This window comes from Homo sapiens, chromosome 2 (assembly GCF_000001405.40).
Source record: "Homo sapiens chromosome 2, GRCh38.p14 Primary Assembly".
In the NCBI taxonomy this organism is placed as follows: Eukaryota; Metazoa; Chordata; class Mammalia; order Primates; family Hominidae; genus Homo; species Homo sapiens.
Window position 1 is genome coordinate 23,439,559 of NC_000002.12, and position 20,791 is coordinate 23,460,349.

General features: G+C 44.0%; 1 protein-coding gene and 1 long non-coding RNA gene across 2 annotated transcripts in view, besides 4 other annotated features; one reads left to right on the forward strand and one right to left on the reverse strand.

Moving 5' to 3' along the window:
* Window positions 1-20,791, forward strand: part of KLHL29 (kelch like family member 29) — a 323,428-nt gene that overhangs the window by 54,380 nt on the left and 248,257 nt on the right. The gene's annotated exons all lie outside the window — the stretch shown is intronic.
* LOC124907741 (uncharacterized) overlaps window positions 1,972-20,791 on the reverse strand; it is a 33,975-nt gene continuing 15,155 nt past the window's right edge. The window contains exon 2 of the long non-coding RNA XR_007086244.1: window positions 1,972-2,249. This is a non-coding gene — a long non-coding RNA (uncharacterized LOC124907741). The remainder of the gene's footprint in view (window positions 2,250-20,791) is intronic.
* Window positions 12,832-12,931: an enhancer, noted in NCBI's record as "active region_15412". NCBI's record gives its function as "activates an Ori minimal core promoter by ATAC-STARR-seq in GM12878 lymphoblastoid cells {active_cell/tissue: GM12878}" and the evidence as "EXISTENCE:reporter gene assay evidence [ECO:0000049][PMID:35858748]".
* Window positions 13,474-13,975: an enhancer, noted in NCBI's record as "H3K4me1 hESC enhancer chr2:23675903-23676404 (GRCh37/hg19 assembly coordinates)". NCBI's record gives its function as "activates a minimal SCP1, AML or CMV promoter by ChIP-STARR-seq in naive H9 embryonic stem cells {active_cell/tissue: H9 hESC(naive)}" and the evidence as "EXISTENCE:reporter gene assay evidence [ECO:0000049][PMID:30033119]".
* Window positions 13,552-13,611: an enhancer, noted in NCBI's record as "active region_15413". NCBI's record gives its function as "activates an Ori minimal core promoter by ATAC-STARR-seq in GM12878 lymphoblastoid cells {active_cell/tissue: GM12878}" and the evidence as "EXISTENCE:reporter gene assay evidence [ECO:0000049][PMID:35858748]".
* Window positions 13,976-14,475: an enhancer, noted in NCBI's record as "H3K4me1 hESC enhancer chr2:23676405-23676904 (GRCh37/hg19 assembly coordinates)". NCBI's record gives its function as "activates a minimal SCP1, AML or CMV promoter by ChIP-STARR-seq in naive H9 embryonic stem cells {active_cell/tissue: H9 hESC(naive)}" and the evidence as "EXISTENCE:reporter gene assay evidence [ECO:0000049][PMID:30033119]".

A 20,791-nucleotide genomic window follows, 5' to 3' on the forward strand; every position in this document is an offset into this window, starting at 1 on the left:
TCGTTATGTACCCAGTAGTCATTCAGGAGCAGCTTGTTCAGTTTCCATGTAGTTGAGCAGTCTCGAGTGAGTTTCTTAATCCTGAGTTCTAGTTTGATTGCACTGTGGTCTGAGAGACAGTTTGTTATAATTTCTGTTCTTTTACATTTGCTGAGGAGAGCTTTACTTCCAAGTATGTGGTCAATTTTGGAATAGGTGTGGTGTGGTGCTGAAAAAAATGTATATTCTGTTGATTTGGGGTGGAGAGTTCTGTAGATGTCTATTAGGTCCGCTTGGTGTAGAGCTGAGTACAATTCCTGGGTATCCTTGTTAACTTTCTGTCTCATTGATCTGTCTAATGTTGACAGTGGGGTGTTAAAGTCTCCCATTATTATTGTGTGGGAGTCTAAGTCTGTTTGTAGGTCACTCAGGACTTGCTTTATGAATCTGGGTGCTCCTGTATTGGGTGCATATATATTTAGGAGAGTTAGCTTTTCTTGTTGAATTGATCCCTTTACCATTATGTAATGGCCTTCTTTGTCTCTTTTGATCTTTGTTGGTTTAAAGTCTGTTTTATCAGAGACTAGGATTGCAACCCCTGCCTTTTTTTGAACAGAGCCCTCAGAAATAACGCCGCATATCTACAACTATCTGATCTTCGACAAACATGCAAAAAACAAGCAATGGGGAAAGGATTCCCTGTTTAATAAATGGTGCTGGGAAAACTGGCTAGCCATATGTAGAAAGCTGAAACTGGATCCCTTCCTTACACCTTATACAAAAATTAATTCAAGATGGATTAAAGACTTAAACATTAGACCTAAAACCATAAAAACTCTATAAGAAAACCTAGGCATTACAATTCAGGACATAGGCATGGGCAAGGACTTCATGTCTAAAACACCAAAAGCAATAGCAACAAAAGCCATAATTGACAAATGGGATCTAATTAAACTAAAGAGCTTCTGCACAGCAAAAGAAACTACCATCAGAGTGAACAGGCAACCTACAAAATGGGAGAAAATTTTCACAACCTACTCATCTGACAAAGGGCTAATACCCAGAATCTACAATGAACTCAAACAAATTTACAAGAAAAAAACAAACAACCCCATCAAAAAGTGGGCAAAGGATATGAACAGACACTTCTCAAAAGAAGACATTTATGCAGCCAAAAGACACATGAAAAAATGCTCATCATCACTGGCCATCAGAGAAATGCAAATCAAAACCACAATGAGATACCATCTCACACCAGTTGGAATGGCAATCATTAAAAAGTCAGGAAACAACAGGTGCTGGAGAGGATGTGGAGAAATAGGAACACTTTTACACTGTTGGTGGGACTGTAAACTAGTTCAACCCTTGTGGAAGTCAGTGTGGCAATTCCTCAGGGATCTGGAACTAGAAATACCATTTGACCCAGCCATCCCATTACTGGGTATATACCCAAAGGGCTATAAATCATGCTGCTATAAAGACACATGCACACGTATGTTTATTGCGGCACTATTCACAATAGCAAAGACTTGGAACCAACCCACATGTCCAACAATGATAGACTGGATTAAGAAAATGTAGCATATATACACCATGGAATACTATGCAGCCATAAAAAATGATGAGTTCATGTCCTTTGTAGGGACATGGATGAAATTGGAAATCATCATTCTCAGTAAACTATCACAAAGTCAAAAAACCAAACACCGCATGTTCTCACTCATAGGTGGGAATTGAACAATGAGAATACATGGACACAGGAAGGGGAACATCACACTCTGGGGACTGTGGCGGGGTGGGGGGAGGGGGGAGGGATAGCATTAGGAGATATACTTAATGCTAAATGATGAGTTAATGGGTGCAGCACACCAGCATGGCACATGTATACATATGTAACTAACCTGCACATTGTGCACATGTACCCTAAAACTTAAAGTATAATAAGAATAATAATAATAATTAATAATAAAAGAAATCAGAGAAAAAAAAAACTTAGTAACCTAAAAGAACAACATTTATTTGCTCAGAATTCTGCAGTTTGGGCAGGGCTCAGCAAGGATGGTTCATGTTTGCTCTTCATGATGCCAGCTAACATGGCTTGACTGAGGTTGCAAGATGCACTTCCAAGATGGCTCACTCACATGACTAGAAAGTTGGAGCTGGCTGTTGACTGGGAACTCAACTGCTGCTGTTGACCACAGCTTCAGTTCCTTTCCATGTGGCCTCTCCATGTGGTTACGTTGGGCTTTTCACAGCATGATGGTTGGATTCTGAAATAAAGGATACTAAAAGTTCTAAGAGAACAAGCCCCACTGTGCAAGCACTTATTCAGCCTCTGCTTGTATCATGTTTGGTCATATCTCATTGGCTAAAACCAGTCACATAGTATGATGAGCAGCATAATGGTCTCCCAAAGATGTCCATGTCCTAATCGCAGAAAACTGAGTATGTTATCTTACATGGCAATAGAGGTTTTGCAGATGTGATTAATGTTAGGCTCTTGAGGTGGAGAAGCTATCTTGGGTTATGTGGTGGGCTCAGTGTAATCACCAGGGTCCTTTATTTTTAATTTTTGAGACAGGGTCTTGTAGGCTAGAATGCAGTGACACAAAAACGGCTTACTGCAGTCTCTATCTCCTACCTCCCAGGCTCAAGCAATCCTCCCACCTCAGCCTTCCAAGTAGCTGAGACCACAGACTTGTGCCACCATGCCCAGCTAATTTTTTTAAATTTTTTGTAGATATGGGGTCTCCCTGTGTTGCCCCAGCTGGCCTCAAACTCCTGGGCTCAAGTGATCCTCCCATCTCTGCCTCCCAAAGTGCTGGATTTAGAGGTGTGAGCCACTTTGTCCAGCCCAAGGTCCTTACAAGTGAAAGACAGAGACAGGAGAGTCAGAGTCAGAGAACAAGATGTGATGACAGGAGCAATGATGAGAGTGATGCAGAGTTTGTCTTTGAAGATGGAGGAAGGGGCCACAAGCAAAGGAATCCATGCAGGCTTTAGAGCCCAGAAAAGGCAAGAAAATGGGCCTTCCCCGGAGCCTCCAGAAGGAACATCCCTGCCAACACTTCTACTTCAGCCAAGTGAGACTCTTGTTAGACTGCTGATTTCCAGAACCATGAGGTAATAAATCTGTGTTGTTTTAAGCCACTGAGTTTGTGGTAATTTGTTACAGCAGCGAGAGGAAACAAATGCACATGTACAACCCCAGAGTCTGTGTGGGAGGGGCCATACACAGAGGCATGGATCTAGGAGCCATGTTTGGTTGGGGGTGTCACCAAAGTAACAGTCCATTATTCAAACTGGCAGACATTTGACAGACCAGAATCTCATGTCATTTTCTTCAGGAAGTAGTTTTGCCCAGAGTTAAATATTTTATGGATGCCTTACAGTCTTTCTGTTCAAGGTGGATGTTCCATTATCTATGCTTCCCACTGGTTCCAAGTTGAAATTGTAGCTGCCACGCTGAATGTGATACCACTTCAGGCCCTTGTGTTGGAGCCACTGTAAGCTCCCCTTTCCCTTCCCCAATTTTTATTATGAAAAATTTCCAACATAGAGAAAAGTTTAAAGAATAGTACAGGGCATTTAGGGATACCTACCACCTAGATTCAAAAATTATTAATATTCTGCCATATTTGCTTAATTTATATGTGCATGCATATCTATGTATATTTTTTGCTGAGCTGTTTGAAAGTTTCAGACATCAAGTACCTTCACCCCTAAGTACTTTTTAGCACATGTGTCCTAACTATAGGGACATTCTCCTGCTTTGCCACAGTGGTCATTACACCTAATAAGATAAAAAATTCTCCACAATCATCTAACATACAGTCTACATTCAAATTTCCCGAGTGGCCAAAACAAATTTTTAGAATTGTTTTTTAAAAATCTATTCATATGTTACATTTAGTTATTGTCCCTCTAGTCTCTTACTCTAAAATAACCCTCCACTTTTTTCCCTTTCATAGCATTGACTGTTGGAAGAGACCAGGCCAGTTATCTTGCAGAATGTCCCACATAGTACATTTGCCCAGTTATTTCCTTGCAGTGCTGTCTAACTTATTCTTCTATCCCCTGTATCTCCTGTAAATTGAAAGTTATATTCAAAGGCTAGACTAGATGCAGGTTATGCACTTTTCGTAAGAATATTTTTATAAATGATACCATGTCCTGCATATGGCATCACTTCCAGCACATAATGTCAGGTGTCCCCTGTAGTTGACTTGGTTTAATCATTAGGTTAAAGGGATGAACATGAGGCGATGCCATTGTGAAGGTAGATTTTTTTCCTTCTGTAATTAGCAAGTAATCTGTTCGGGTGGTACTTTGGCAAGGAGCAGATATGCTGTTTCCCAAGAACTTGTCACCTAATGGCTTTTGCATCCCTTGGTAACCCTTATGTGAGGTAGCAGGGGTATTGTAAAATGGTGATTTTTAAAATCCTATCATTCTTTCTACATTTATTAGCTGAAAGTTTTTGTAAGGAAGACCTCATGTCTCTCTTTGAGTTCTTCCTTGCTTTTAGGCACAATATGCCCCAGACAAATTGTATTTTTATTGTTTCAGGCATAGAATCCGTGATTTTTCTAAAGAATCCTGGTTCTTTTTAGTGGGACTTACCTCTTAGGCACTAGGGATGCTCGTTCTAAGGCCATTTAGTGGATAGAGCTAGGAAACATAGTTAATAAATTATGCGTTCAAACTGATGTTTTGAATTCAGATTTAGAACTCAAGATTTTTTTCCTTAACTTTTTACCTTTTTATATATATTTCTATATGTTTTCTCAAACTGAATTTTTGTTTGTTTGTTTTTGCTCTTGTTGCCCAGGCCTGGAGTGCAATGGCAAAATCTTGGCTCACTGCAACCTCCGCCTCTCGGGTTCAAGCGATTCTCCTGCCTCAGCCTCCCGGGTGGCTGAGATTACAGGCGCCTGCCACCATGCCCAGCTAATTTTTTGTATTTTTAGTAGAGATGGGGTTTCACGATGTTGACCAGGCTGGGCTCAAACTCCTGACCTCAGGTGATTCACCCTCCTCAGCCTCCCAAAGTGCTGGGATTACAGGCGTGAACCACTGCACCCAGCATCAAACTGAAATTTTGATTCCTGTGCGTTAACATGTTTACCTGTTTGTGTATAATACATATATTCACATAAAATAGTCTTAAACTTATAACACCAATATTATTACTAACAATAAAACTACCAAGTGAAGCTTTTCTTGGCACTTTCTTTTTGTCCTTAGAATATATCCCGTTACAGATGTACGATCAGAGTTCAAATGAGTTGAAAAGTCATTTGAAAAAATTCTTTGTGTGATTATGTTATCAATTTTATAAACAGTTAGCTTCATGTGTTTTGGACTGTAAGGTTTACCCCCCTTTTAAAATTAATTTTGTTTCTTAGAAAATATAAAACATTATATAGCAGGTCCTCAATGTCATCCATAAGTTGTTGGAAACTGTGACTTTAAATGAAATGACATATAACAAAACCAATTTTTTTCCTCACAGTGTTATAAGACAATGTTGAATGAAATGATATTATTCCAGGACCTGCTGTATGTCATTTCACTTAAAGTTGCAGTTTCCAAGAACCTTAACAAGGGCATTAAGTGAAGACTTTATATATGTGGTTTAAAAGTCAAAACCATATAATACAGTAACCTCATAGAAATCTTGATTCCATTCCTGTCTTTTCTGCTCCATTCTCCTATATAGATAACCATTTTGCTAGTTTTTTTTCTTTCCAGTGCATCTTTTTGTAAAAGAAAAGATTTCATACTCATTCTTATTTCTCCTTCTTTCTTAGACAAGAGCAGCAGCATGTCCTCTATATTCTTCTTCACCCTGCATTGTCCGCTTTTTAATATAGCCTTGAAATCCCTCCATACCAGCCCTTCAAGGCCATCCTCTTTGTCCATTGCATGTACTTCTCCACTGTGTGGCTACCCCGGAAGGGATTCAGCAAATTCTCTGTCCATAGGCTGTTGGGTTGTTTCCGGTCTTTTTCTTGCACAGACAGTGCTGCAATGAGTAATCTCTAGTGCATGTCATTTCGTACATGTGAAGGCATATCAGCAAGGGGGATTGATGGGTCAAAAGATGAAAACAGGTGTAATTTGTCAGATATTGCTACATTCTCCTCTCTGGGGGCTGTACCATTTTGCATTCCCTCAGCAATGTGTGAGAACACGTGTCTCCACAGCCTTAACCACAAAATGCTTGTCAAACTTAAGGCTCTTTGCCAATATGATGAATGAGAAATGAGTGTTTCTGTTTTGTTGTATGTTTATCTTATGAGTAAGGTTACACATTTTTTTCATAGGTCTAAGGGCCATCTCCCCTTTTCTTTCTATAAACTGTGTACATCTTTTGTTCATTTTTCTGTCATGTGATTGGTCTTTTTCCTTTCAGAGAATTTCTAAATTAGAGAGATTAAGCCTTTTTCTCTAAATTGCAAATGGTTTCCTTTCTTCGTTTTTTCATTTTTTAACTTATATTTTTGCAATGCATTTATTTTATTTTTATTTTATCAGTCTTGTATTTCAAATCGTAATCAGAAAGACTTTTCCACTCCCTGGTGATTAAGGAACAGTCCACTCATGTTTTCTTCTAGTACACATAGAACTTCATTATTTAGTTAGCTGTCTAATGCATTTGGAGTTTTTTTTTTTTTTCTGGTGAATGGTATGATAGGGATCCAGTTTTGTTTTTCCAAAAAGTTATGCATCTTTCCCCCAAAGGTTTGAGATGCTACCTTTATCATACACCAAATTTCCACATGGGGTCTATTTGCCAACTTTCTCTTCTCTTCCATTGATCTGTCAGACCCAAGGTTCTTGAAGTTCATCTTGACCCAGGACAGTGTGCCTCTGTCATATTCTTCCATAGTCGAGAGCCAGCCCACCCCAAGATGGTGAAAGCCCAAAACTGAGCACTTAGCCTGCAGCGTGGAGTGGCACGTCTATTCCTGTGGATACTCTAAAAGCTCTTCCTGGCTCTTGCTGGACTGTCAGGGTACTGTGTACCAATCTGTGCTATTTTGGCTCCTTGTGGAATTGCTTTTGATAAACAAGGCTTATTAGTGACAGGTCATGGCCTTGTACTGAGGGATGTGCTAAGGAAAAGCCCTGTAAAACCCAAGGTGTTGAGAATTCACTACATCATTCTCTCACGCCTGATTTTATTTTTCCTCTTTTTACCCAGCTTTCCTGACATTATTTTCCTTTTATCTTTTTAAATTATGTGCATCTTTGCAAGCAGTTCTGGAGTATATATTGTCGAAAGAGGAGGGAAGGAAGGAAGGGAATCACATAAGACTGATGACTTTCTGCTGCAGTGAAATATGGAAACGGTGCAGAGTCCTTGATTTCAGGCTGGATTTACTGCACTCCTCAAAGGAACTTTTCTTGGACAGGTTTACCTAATGCAGAAAAACACCTTTTCTTCCAGGTCAAGCAGCTTTCATCCTTTAAATCTAATCGTTTTCAGTGAGATAGGAATAAATGCAGAAGGATTTTCAAGCTGATACAGGTTCAGACACGTGTGTTAGATGCCACAGTCAGCTTGAAGCATTTGCTTTTGACTTTGTTGAACACATCTGCACCTTGACTCATGGTGGCCATCGTGGACGTGTGCTGGAGTAAATCCTGTATTGTCCCTGGGACCAAATGCAGACCTTTCTGCAGGCATCCACTGCCATCCAGTCACTTGTTTTTGTACATGACGTGTTATCTCCCTCACTTCATGATACTTCTCCCTGGTCCAGTGCCCATTGAACTTGTGCATGGGCCACACCACCTCGAGGAGGCCTTGACTGCTTTGTTCCCTTTAGGCCCCCATTTGCTTCAGTACCTAGCCCTGAGCTCTGCTGGTACCTAAGGTGGCTGCATTGGCCTTGCTTCCTGCTTCATCAATGCCTCTGCACCTTTCTCCTTGCCTGGGAAATTTCTGCATTTGTTGTATTTGATCAAGCATCCATGTAAATATAAAAATTCCTGCATCACAAATCAGTCTGCTGCATCTTCCTAACGCTGATAATGGCCTTGGCTGAGGCCCAGTTGTCCCTTCCTGGATGACCAGGCTCCCCTGAGTCTCAGTGTCTAAACCGTTATTGTGTCATTATTTCTTATCCGAAGGGCCCATATCCCTTAGCCAAAATTCTGAAATAGAAAAGGCTCTGCAAACAGGAAATCATTTGACAGCAAAACCCAGCCTAAACTGACATGAGGCCATTTATAGTCCTTATTTATCCCAATAGATGTGAATCCTTATACCTTTTGCTGTGGAAATATGACTGTGTCTGATTCTGGAGTACTGTCCCAGAACCTGCTGGGAGTATCATGATATATGACGTTTGTCATCTGAATTTCAAAACATATCTGGTCCCAAGGACTTGTGATAAGGGATTATGAGCCTGGAGGAAATCAGAGGCTGGAGATGCCTGTAATTTCATGTCATATGACTGTCAGGATAGCTCGTGCATAGAAATGACCCATGCCTAGGTAAGTAAAAGTATATGAGGCCCAAGACTTTGAAAATACTCAAAGTATTAGTATACTAATACTTTGTATACTAAGGACTTCCCCATTCCTGGAAGATCCACAGGACGTGTGAGAAGACTAGGAAAGAGGTTCCCAAATCAGAATATACTAGATGTCCCCAGTCCCCAGAGTTTGTCAATTGCAGGTGCTCTGACACCAGCAGGTTTCTGGATTTACAAATCTAAGAATAATAAGATTTGAAACACTTTCCTTATTCCAGGCACTGTTCTAAGTGCTCAGTATGGGTAATCTAATCAGATCCTTGTGACAACCCTTTGAGGCAGTTGATATCACCATCCCTTAAACCATGAGGAAACTGAGGTCCATGCAGGTTAAGTGAATCCATATCAGTTCAGATGCCCGAAAACACAAACCTCACCAGCTATTTAAGAAAAGATTAATAGAGGGGATTGGGAGTTTCCAGAATTAGAAGGGCCTAGAGGAGCAGGATGGAGGCTCAGCTTCCAGGAGTGATTCTCAACAGGACACTGCATGGCTGGACCCTCAAGATTGCTGCTTCCACAGTCAGGAAAGTTGAGAATCAGGACTCTATTGCAGGAACTGTCAACCCCAGGAACACCCACTCAACCACCTTCTGGGGACCAGGAGAGGTGACCATGACTGTTTGCTTCAGAGTTGGCATGCCTTTTGCTGCACCTGCAATCTGCTTTTCAGCACACCTGCAAAACTGGTGACTGGTCTCCTTGCCTGTGCTTGCCAGAGAACGGCAGAATCTACCACCGTATGGCCTCCACCTCATTTCCTTAGCTTCTCAAAGCATATGCAAACACGTCTGCTTGGTAGAATCTTAAACACATCTAGAACCTGGAGGTGCAAAGGAATAGGTCGTTGTCATTTTGCCAACTTTGGCATACAGCAAGGCACATGGGGAGGAAGGTCCAATGGATGTTGATTGAGCCAGTCTGCAGACCCACACATTAAATAACTTCCCAGAGCTTACACAGGAAGTGGTGGATCCAGGATTTGAAGCCAGGCTGTGTGTTCCCAGCATCTAAGCTCTGTGAAGTGTACTGCCTCACAGGAATCCCGTGAGCTCATGCTTGGGGCTGGCTGGACTCCATGACAAACATGTCTTCTCCATATTCTGTTTCTTCAGCAGGTTCACAGCTCTAGTCCATGTGTCTGTATGGTACAAGGAGGACTCTTGAGCTGGCTCTGAATCCTTTGAGGACTGATTTTGATGGTGTCTATCTAATGGCTATTGACTGGTTGTATCCATTACCCTTTGATCTAACAATGCTGCCTAACAAGTCACCCTAAAATTCACTGACTTAAAACAGTAGACATGTAATATTGTTCGCCTAGTCTATAGGTTGGCTGGTTCTTCTCAGCTGGGTTCACTCATGCATCAGTGGTCAGCTGCAGGTCACTTAGGTGGCTCTGCTTATCTTGGCTGGGACCTGTCACATGCTTGGGGTTAGCTGGCTGATCTCTCACTAAGTAGGCTGGTTTCTCATCCTCCAATAGTCCAGCCAGTGTGTTCTTATAGCAATTTCTGAGAAATGAAAGAGGAAGTTGAAATGTGCATGCATTTTCCTAAAGCCAGTCACACAGTCATGCTCAAGGTCATGGTGGAAAGGGTACCTCAAAGTTGCCCTCTCTGGATACAGAGAGGCCATTAGTTGGGGTCATCAACTAATTAGAGAACCTTAGGCACAATGTTTAACCTCTCCAATGGCCCATACAACTGAACTCCTTGGAAAGCATAGCTTGGATGAGAGGCGTGGAGAACCAAGCCCTCTGGAACCCTGCATGTTAAATCTAATATGGAATTCAGCACCCAGGGGCTATCTAGCGAGGCTCTGCCTAAATGAAATCATCTGTTCTTTTGGCTGGCTTTATTCTGTGCTCAAGCCAGGGCTCCCCAGCTGACTCAGGGACACAGCCATTAACTTGTGGGGCCTGTGCTTAACAGAGCTGCTTCTCAACAAAGACAGTCTTTTGACATCTCAAGCGGCAAGCTCGATCGCCAATTAAAAAGCTCATGTCCTCAATGTGACAAATACCGGGGAAAACAAGTCTGCAATTCAGAACACAAGTGGAGGAACATGAAGCAAGTTCATCATGACGGCAGCACCGGCCTTGTTGGAGCTTTCATCTCGCCTCTCGGTGAGACAGAGCACGACTCTCCCAAGATTTCCCAGGTCATGCCGCTTAGCTGGGCAAGACGTGCCGCCAGGCCGAGATGGTTCACCCTGCTTCATGGGATCATGTGAAGGGTCAGGGTTGTTTTTCTATAGCTTAGATTGCGGCCTGCACATCTTACATTTTCTTAATTCATATTTAATAACCTTATAGGGCTCTCCGGTGGCTGTGCTGTGAGACAGATCAGGAAGCCAAGGTCGTCCATGCAGCCAGGATCCTGGGGTTCCTTAGGGCCCTGATCCCTTCTCTGCAGAACATTAGGGGCTGCCCCCAAGACTTCAGCCCTAGAGATTCAATTGGCAGCTTCGATATTGAAAGACTAAAAAAAAATGGACATTCCTCCCGTTTTTCTTTTGGATCCGTTTCCCTTTGAAGTGAAGTTGCACTGTCTCCCCAGGTCCCCAGTGAAAGCAGAGTTGTGTATCCTCTGGTTTGTTTCTCAGGAGATGTGTTTTAACTAAGTTAATAATAATAATAACAACAGCTTTATTGATAAATAGTTCACATACCCTATAATTTACCCATTTAAGGTATACAATTCAGTGGTTTTTAATATAGTCACAGATATGTGCAACCATCCCTATGGCTTATATTAGAGCATTTTCATCATCTCAAAAAGAAACCCCATACACATTAGCAGTCAATCCCCATTTTTCCTTCCCCCAATCACTGGCAACCACTAATCTATTGTTTTTTTCTTTTTCACTCAAACAGATTTCTGACAGATCCACTTTCTATGTCTATAGCTTTCCCTGTTCTGGACAGTGGATATCAATGGAATTATACAATAATGCGGTCTTTTGTGACTTAATTCTTTCACTTAGCATAAACTAAGGAAATTTTTTTAAGTTTGTCTTTGAAGCCAGATGGCTGAGTTTGAATCCTGGCTCCACATCCTACTCCACTTACCTAAAAACTGGTTTGTTTTTAGGTAAGTGACTTAACCTCTCTGTGTCTGTCTCCTCATCTTAATACAGAGAGAATTCCAGTGATCACTCCCATAGAACTCCCTGGGTAAATCCATGTAAAGGCTGTATTTGAGCTGTGCCTGGAACACAGTAGGGACCCAGGGAATGTGAGTTCTCATCATCTTTCTTGTCCTGTGTTCCCTGAAGGCCTTTCTAGCTCTGTTTGGGGAGCCTTGCTTGTTTGTTTTCATTCCCACAGCAAACATCAGTGGCAGTGTGGACAGCTCTTCCCATATGAATTGCACCTGGGTCATGGGGACTGGGAAGCTGTGCATGCGCCTTGCAAGCTCTCACCCAAGTCTAGAGCCTCCTGCATCTCCCTCTTCCCAAGGCAGCCTCATGGCCCCACTTGAGGCTCTGAGGTTCTGCCTTTAAGGGAATAGAAAGTTTTTCTCCCCAGCTCCCAGTGAAAGCAGCTGTTTCCTTGTGAGTGTCCTCCAGGTGGGAGACGGAGGGATTTTGGACGGGCACATTAGTCCATTTTACTCCTCAGGGTTTAAGTTAACAGGAATAGTAGAAGGGATCAACGTTGACCCAGAAAACTGGCCCACAGGCCTGCTATTGGGTAATGTACTAGTCCATTCTTTAGTTGCTATAAAGAAGTACCTGAAGCTGGGTAGTTTATAAAGAAAGGAGTTCATTTGGCTCATGGTTCTGTAGGGTGTCTAGGAAGCATGGCACTGGCATCCTCTCCTGGAGAGGCCTCAGGATGCTTCTAATCAGGGCAGAAGGCGAAGAGGGAGCAGGCTGTCACATGACGAGAGGGGGAGCAAGAGAAGGGGGAGGTGCCACTCTTATTTTTATTTTTTCTTGAAATAGGTCTTGCATTTTCACCCAGTCTAGAGTGCAGTGGTGCGATCACATCTCATTCAAGCCCCAATCTCCTGCCCTCAGTTGATCCTCCCACCTCAGCCTCTTGAATAGCTGGGACCACAAGCATGTCCCACCGTGCCCAGAAAAAAAAATTTTTTTCTTTTTTTTTTTTTAGAGATGGGGTCTCACTGTGTTGTCCAGGCTGGTCTCCAGTTCCTGAGCCCAAGTCATCCTCCAACCGCAGTCTCCCAAAGTGCTAGGATTACAGGTGTGAGCCATCATGCCTTACTGTCACAGCCAGCAGTCTCATGAACTGAGTAAGAACTCACTCATCACCAAGGGGATGGTGCCGAGCCATTCACAAGGGATCCTCCAGGGTCCAATGCCTCCCACCAAGCCCCACCTCCAACATTGGGGATCTCATTTCAACATGAGATTTGGAGGGGTCACACATCCAAACCGTGTCAGATGGGAAGCTGAGAAAAGTGACATCTGCCTCTGAAATAGTTCTGGGAACGTCACTGGAGGGTGACTGCCAGGTTCACTCATGCCATCAGCCCCGCCTTTGTGTCCTCAGTAATTTTTACTCTGAGCATAATCACAGCCCTCGTTGAGAGGAGCCACTGTCCCTGTTGGTCTTCTTTCTAGAAGTATCTCTTATATACTGATATACAGCAGTGCATTTACATTGTTAACTGTAAAAATGACACCAACACATTTAGAAAGGCCACCAGATAAAATAAAGAAAAATGTATCCCTCAACGCTGACATACTTACTGGCTTGCTTTTGGAACGTTCTTCTTTCTGTCTTCAGGTGCTAGAACTTTAGGAGAGTAAGTGGGCTCTGTTGAGGGACTCTGAAGACTGGTCACCCCCCCGCCCACACACACACACACATCCCCCAGCACTTGAGCTGCGCTTCCACATAACCACTTCCTTTATGCTGGGACTGTGGTTTCTTTGTGTGTTTTTATGTCTTTTCCATGTCTGGGTCTGGGTTTGCCTCCCCTGAGAGACCGTAAACTTCTAAAGAACAAGAACTGTGTTGTCTCCTTTTATAGGAGTGTATGTTTCATTAAAAAAAAAAAAAGTAAAAGTAAATTTTAAAAAACGTTTCTTGTCTATGCCTACGATGTTCTTATTGACTTGAGGGTTTAGACAGTGTCTCTGAAAATTCTCTGGCAAACACTCCCTGGCCCCACCATAAACAGCTGGTTGATGTAACCACACCGTAGCTCAGTCACCACGTCACAGGAGCTGTGTCTTCTTCTGCCCGGGAACTACCTGTCCTGTGTGACAGAAAAATGCAGCGGTTGCCAGCCAAGGGCCCACAGGCAGGATTCCCCTGAAGCTGTGGGACTTTGCTAACAATGCATCTCCCACATTGAGGCTTTTCAGAAATGCGATTGAAAATAGAAGTGTGGGTGCAGCATTTTCCTTCCTGCCACATGGGAATTCTGGGGAAAGAGCTCACCTTGAAGGAACAACCTTGCTGGGAGTGCAGTGGGGGGACCTTTCCCCTGGAGCCGGAGCCCCTGCTGGGTTCTGGCAGCCCCAGGATGCCCACTGAGCTCTGCTTCTCTGGGCACCCTGAGAAATGGACGGCAGCGGCCCTGACTCCGGGCTAAGGCAGGGCTTCAATTAAGCCAGAGAAACACGATTTATTATCAGCATGTTTTCAGTTCCAAGCCGTGCTTTGAAAAGGTCACCTTATATGAATATTTAGAAAAAGCAAGATCATAAAATAAGAGGGACTTGGTATTTTGTTTTGTATTTTTTTTTTAGAAGAAAATTCGGGCTCACTGGTAACTTACAATGGGCAAACTCTAGCACTTTTTATTTAACCTGCATTTACCCTTTAAAAATGGGGAGGAGGTTTTAGAACTGCATTTGAGGAGACTTTCTGTGTCCAGGGGATTTTACAGCGTTTGAAACCAGGGCAGTGAGCCTTACACCCGGGACCCAAGGTCCGCTTGCTGACTAAATGCCCATTAAAACAGCAAATGAGGAGGCCAGGTCTGCTTTGAAGAGCCTAGCCTAATTGTGTTGTATTTGTGTCAGCTGATGGCTACTTTTTTCATTAGGGACTTTTAACCTGTGGGTCATCTTTTGAAATACACATTCGATTGAGTCAGTTCTTCCTTTAAGACCTCAATTGGCTCTCCTTGCCCGAGGAGAAAGCTGGGCCCCTGACCCTCCCGCCCCGGCCCCTTGAGATCTGGACACAGCCTTGCCTCAGAACTCAGCCTGTCACCTCCCCTCCCCTCCTGTCACGTCCTGTGTCCCATTCCAGTCCCATAGTGAGGGGACTTAGTGGATTATATTGTAGGATGAGCTTAGTTAAAGATTAAACGAGTATGTTTATTCTTTATTTCACAGAGTAATTGTTTTAAAACGAATTTTATTTTTATGCTTAGTAGGATGGATTTTATTTAAACCCCCAGGCAGACTCCATTTAAATCTGTCTATAAATTGTATAGTCTTGATGTTTTTGTATAACTTTGATATACATTCTTTACAAAATCCCGGTTTTATTTTTACAAGATGAAGATTATACATTTTAAAGCAGTTATTTCGTCAGCTTTTTCTGTCTCCTTGTATAATCATATCAGAGGACTGAATAATGATTTCGTTATTTCATTTGCACAGTCTCTCGTGACTGCTAAGCACTCTGCTTGTAGTTCCTGTTTTTTGCTATTCCTCTGTTCTTGCGTTTTTTTCTGCAATCTCTCCCCGCCTTGCCCAGATCTCTTCCTCAATGATTTTTTTTTAAATTTTGTACAACAAATATTCCTCGGTGCCTCCTGCCCACCAGACACTATGCCAGGTGCCAAGTGTAGAATGCAGATTAAACAGCCAGGTTGTCTACCCCTTGGCACTTGGCATGGAATTCCGTGGCGCCTTTCCATTAAAGAGGGCTAAGGGCTGTCAGCTGAATTTGACAACTCGTAGAAACAGGAACAGTGGGTTGGGGGGGGGGCATTTATTTCTCTCGCATCTGCAGCCTCTGTGCAATCAGTTTGTCATCTCTGAAGACAAATTTATTGTGAATTAAATAAGATCACCCTTTGATGTCTCTTGAATGTGGCCTCTTCTCAGGCCTGGCTCCTTCTGGTAGAGCTGTTGTCTTTAGTTGCTGACATTATCAATAACAAAATCTTGGCCCACCCATAAAATTGTCCCACTTCCATAATCCTTGACCTCTTGTGACTGATTAGTAAAGCTCTGTAAAAAGGTTACCTGAAAATATATTTTATAAATACCGTGTATTATGATTCAGAGTTACACCTCGTGCCTAAAATATGTTCTTCAACTTTAACCTATTTTAAGTTGAAATAGTTTTGCTAGATTTGGTTGGTTTATCATTACTGTTGTTATCAACATTGGTTTGGTCTGTTGTTAGTGAAGGTCTTTGTTAAAAAGCAAATAAATAAGTGGAAATCCAGTTAATGTAAGATATTTTGGTTTGTGAATTTTATTTGCCTTTCTGCTCTAAGAAGTTTCCCTGAGGACAGGCAGACAAGTTTGCCATTGAGTGATGAAGAGAAGCGTCAGCTGAGGGATGGTCTCCTGATTTTTTTTTTTTTTTTTTTTTTTTGAGACCGAGTCTCCATCTGTCACCAAGGCTGGAGTGCAGTGGCACCATCTCGGCTCACTGCAACCTCTGCCTCCCAGGTTCAAAAGATTCTCCTGCCTCAGCCTCCCGAGTAGAGTCTCCTGATTTTGTAAATTCTGCCATGTGGTTCATTTGTTAGTCAGCCACAGTTAGGCACTGAATTGTGTCTCCCCAAAATTCACATGCTGAAGCCCTAATTCCCAATCCCTCAGAATGTGGCTGTATTTGGACATAGGGCCTTTAAAGGGGTGATTAAGGTGAAACCTGATTGGTGTGTTTATAAAAAGAAGACACACAGAGGGACACAGGAATGTGCATGCAAAGAGGAAAGACTGTGTGAGGACTTCGTGAGAAAGCGGCCACCTGCAAGCCAAGGAGAAGAGGCCCCAGAAGAAACCAAACCTGCTGACACTTTGATCTTGGACTTCTGGCCTCCAGAACTGTGAGAAAATAAATTCCCATTGTTTAAACCACCCAGCCTTTGGTATTTTGTTATGGCAGCCCTAGCAAATTAATGCAACCACCAAGCCTGTTGCAAAGGATTTTTCTTCCAAGCAGATTCCTGTTTGATGGTAGGAGCCAGTATCCTCCCCATTGTTGTAGCTGGAGGGGGCCAAGGCAGAGAAGACTGCCGGCCCTGGGCCCTTGGTGCAATGGGGCAGTGACAGCAATGGGACTGAGAGGGAGCCACCTCCACAGAACCCCCAGCATGCTCCCCATAGCAGCTGAGTGCTTGTAGAGCTGTGCCAGGAACCCAGGAAGATGCAGGTGGAAACATTTGTTCTAGAATCTTCGGAGCAGTGATTTGGGCTATGCTCAGGAGTGTTCATTCTCTTTTCCGTGGATCTTCACAAAATATCCGAGAACTAAATCTGAAACGTCTCTAGTAAGGCCACGTGATGCGTGCGTCTAGCACCCACGAGTGAGGAGCCGGAAACATTCTCCCGCGCCAGCTCTGCGGGGTTCTGGCTACTTGTGCTTGGGTGTAAATGCTCGCATTGCGTTTTCTGTTCCTGCCACATTGCACGCTTCAGCCTGAATGCAGCGTTATCGCTGCTGTGGGAATTTTTGACAACTTATTTATGAGTATTAAGATCCTGGAGTCTTCCCCCACCAAAAAAAGGGGGTAGCTATGCCTGCACTTGGAGATGTTTCCAGGATGGCAGCCCTTGTGGGGTCCAGTCACCCAGGGCTGGCAATAGATGCTGTCTCCCTTGTGCACCCAGGCTGGTTTGAAGTGTGCTGACGGGGACTTGCGGAGACAGCCAGGCAGAGGGAGAAAAAAGGTGGTAGGGTTGCTCCAGGTCACACAGGCCACCGCAGAAGCAGGCCTGGCTACATGGAAGGGAGCAGGGTGGCGGCATCTCAGGTGTCAGGGCCGGAGCAGCAGAGGTCGAGGCCTTCCGAGGCCCCTCCCCAGGCATCTGCTGAGACCCTCCCTTGTGCCAGGCCCTGTGCCTTCCCGACGCCGGGGACTGGAGCTAGAGGCATCTGGTGACAGGAACAGGAGGAGGTTAAAGCAATCCGTGCCCTGAGTGAGCGCAGGGTGCAGAGTAACCCTCACATGCACAGTGACTGGTGTAGGATGATGTTTGACCAATGCTGAACTCATATGGGCTCTGAGCCCAGAGGGGCCAGGTCTTTGGAGTCTGGAATGACTAAGGCAGGCCTTTCCTGTGAGAAGTGGTGGCTTTGAGCTGTGGGGACCTAGAGAAGAGACAGCCAGAGGTTCTTAATTCTTTCCTTCATCTTCCTCTCCTTTGATTCTGATCCATTAAGTGGTTTTGGCATGGTTCTGGGGCCCTTCCCCTCCAGGACCCCTGCGGTGTGAGTGCTACTCCTTTGGCCCCATGGATCACCCCTCAACCCGTCACCTTGTGTTCCCCGAGGTGGGGGTGCCTCTGGAATTCCCTGTTCTGCTTTTAGGAGTGTCACAAGGATTGTAACAGCGTCCCACTGGTGCTGGATGGCCAACAATAAATTCCCAGGCTCTGAAGCACCAGGAACAAGGTCCCTGCAGTCAGATGAAAGGTCCCCTCCTTGCCTGGCAAGACCTATTATCTGGGACTCTAAAGAAAACGTAAGGCCGGGCGCGGTGGCTCACACCTGTAATCCCAGCACTTTGGGAAGCCAAGGCAGGCAGATCACGAGGTCAGGAGATCGAGACCATCCTGGCTAACACAGTGAAACCCTGTCTCTACTAAAAATACAAAAAATTAGCCAGGCGTGGTGGCGGGCACCTGTAATCCCAGCTACTCGGGAGGTTGAGGCAGGAGAATGGCATGAACCAGGGAGGCGGAGCTTGCAGTGAACTGAGATCACGCCACTGCACTCCAGCCTGGGCGACAGAGCGAGACTCTGTCTCAAAAAATAAAAATTAAAAAAAAATAAAACGTAAGGATGCCTGCTCCTGGGGAAAAGCGTGAGGGTCAGCATGTCAGTAACAGTGCTATAGGCGTCAGTGCACGTCTGCAGGTGGCCGGCGTTGCCCCAGAGAGGGCCCGTTTGAGTCACTTACTCAGCAGACACCAGGGACCTACTGGAAGCTCATTTATTCAGCTTGCCCACTTGCTCATTAATTTAACACATTTGTATTGAATGTCTGCTTTCTGCAAGGCACTGGTGCTCCCACTGGAGCTGGGCTGGCAGACTGTTTCTATAAAGTAAGTATTTTAGGCTTTGAGGGCCATTTTGTCTGTTGCAACTACTCAACTCTTGTAGAACAAAAGCAGCCATAGACAATACATAAACACATGGGTGTAGCCTTGTTCCAGAAAGACTCTATTGACAAAACCAGCTGCATTTGGCCACAGGCTATCGCGTGCTGGCCCCTGGACTATGTACAGAGGTAATCCTCTATCTACATAGAGCTTATGCTCTAGGCAAGGAAGACAAGAAATTAATCATATAATCACAAACATAAATTATAATTATGAACACGTGTTCTCATAGCTCTACAGCCAGGATGGTATGTGGCAACCTCACGTCAAGAACTGCTTCCCTCAAGAGTTGCTGCTTTTGTTGGCATCAGAATCAGCATGAACCAGGTGAAGAGAGAGAGGAACCAGCATGTGGAAACACCCTGCAGTACAAGTGCAGCATCCCAGGAATGGAAAGAAGGCCAGTGGTCATAGCGGAGAGGAGAACGGGGACAGGGGTGAGATGAGGCAGGAGAGGACATGCAGCTGGTGCATGCATGGTCTTGGAGCCATGCTGTGCCTCCAGTCTTTATCTGAGTCTAATGGTGAAGGCTAACGCAGAGGAGAAACAGGATCGGATTTGCACTTTGCTGCAACATGAAAGCAGATTGGGGAAGAGCAAGCAAGGATTCAGGAGAACCAAGTGAAAAGACTATTGCAAGAGAGGACAGTGGCAGTGGGGAGGTGAAGAGAAGTAGCTGGAGGTAAGAGGTATGTCGAGGGGTCATAATGGGCTGGGTATGGAGGGAGAAAGCCTCCACAGGATGGCTCCTAGGTATCAGGGTTGTGCCTGATTAGATGGTTACATCTAGATATAAGATGGTTGGTGTGCTCTATTCTGAGACAGGAAGCACTGGAGAAGCCCAGAGTTCTTTGCTTTGATTTGTTTGGGTGAGAGGAAGAGGCATGATCAGTCTGAGTTGCCTTTGAAACATCACATTAAAGGTGTCAGATAAGTAGGTGAGATGTACAGATCCGGAGCTCAGAGGAGAGGTGGGACTGGAGAGAATATGTTTTGGAGAGTCATCAGCATATGGAGAGTGATTGAAGCCTTGAGCATGGATTAGATCATCCAGGGGAAGAAGAGAATGGAGTAAAAAAAGAGAAGAGGGCCTGGCAAAACATCTTCTAGGAGCTCTGATGTCTAATAGCCAGGGAGGCAGGGGTGATTCGGCAAAATGGGGAAATGACGACCAATGAAGCAGGATTAAAAACAGGAGATTGTTGTGTTGTGGAAGCAAAGGGAAGCAAGGGCTTCAAGCAAGACTTGCATTCAGCCTGTATGCGCAGGCACAGTGAGACTGGCCACGGATGCCCAGTGACCATTCTGACTTGTCGGTGCATGCACTGTGATAGTGGTTAGTGCCCATGCCACATCAGTTGTTAAACTTGATTTTCATCCCTGCTTTCAAGGAGTGGCCACCAGTGTTGAAAGCTTCTGGGATAGCACACAAGATAAAGAGTGGAAACCGTCCATTGGATTTAGCACCATGGAGGACACTGGTGACCTTAACAAGAGAACTTTGGATAGAGTGATGGGCTAAGGGGTGAATGGGAGGTGAGGAAGTTGACAGGAGGCCTAGGCAGCCTTTCCAGAAGTTTCACCATGAAGCAGAGGAGCTAAGCAGGACAGGTAGAGGAGAAGCTGGAAGGGTATCCTGGAGTCAAAATTTTACTTTCAAATGTTGAAATGATGAGAAGTATTTGTTCAACATACCTACTGTGTATTTATTCAGTTAGCAAACTGTGTATCTCATTCATTTATTCATTACTTGATCCAACATGCCTATCTCAACCTTGAGTAGGATATTTATTATGAGCACTAAATTTATTTTATTTCATTTCCTTCTTTCCTTGTCAACAGCCATTTATTGAGCATGTATTATTTGCCAAGTACTGGACCAGGTCCCAGTGATAGAGACATGAATAAGTTATAGCCTGTGTGTTCACGGGGCTTATAGTTTTTTCTAGTGCAGTGGTTCTCAACCAGGGATGATTTTGTT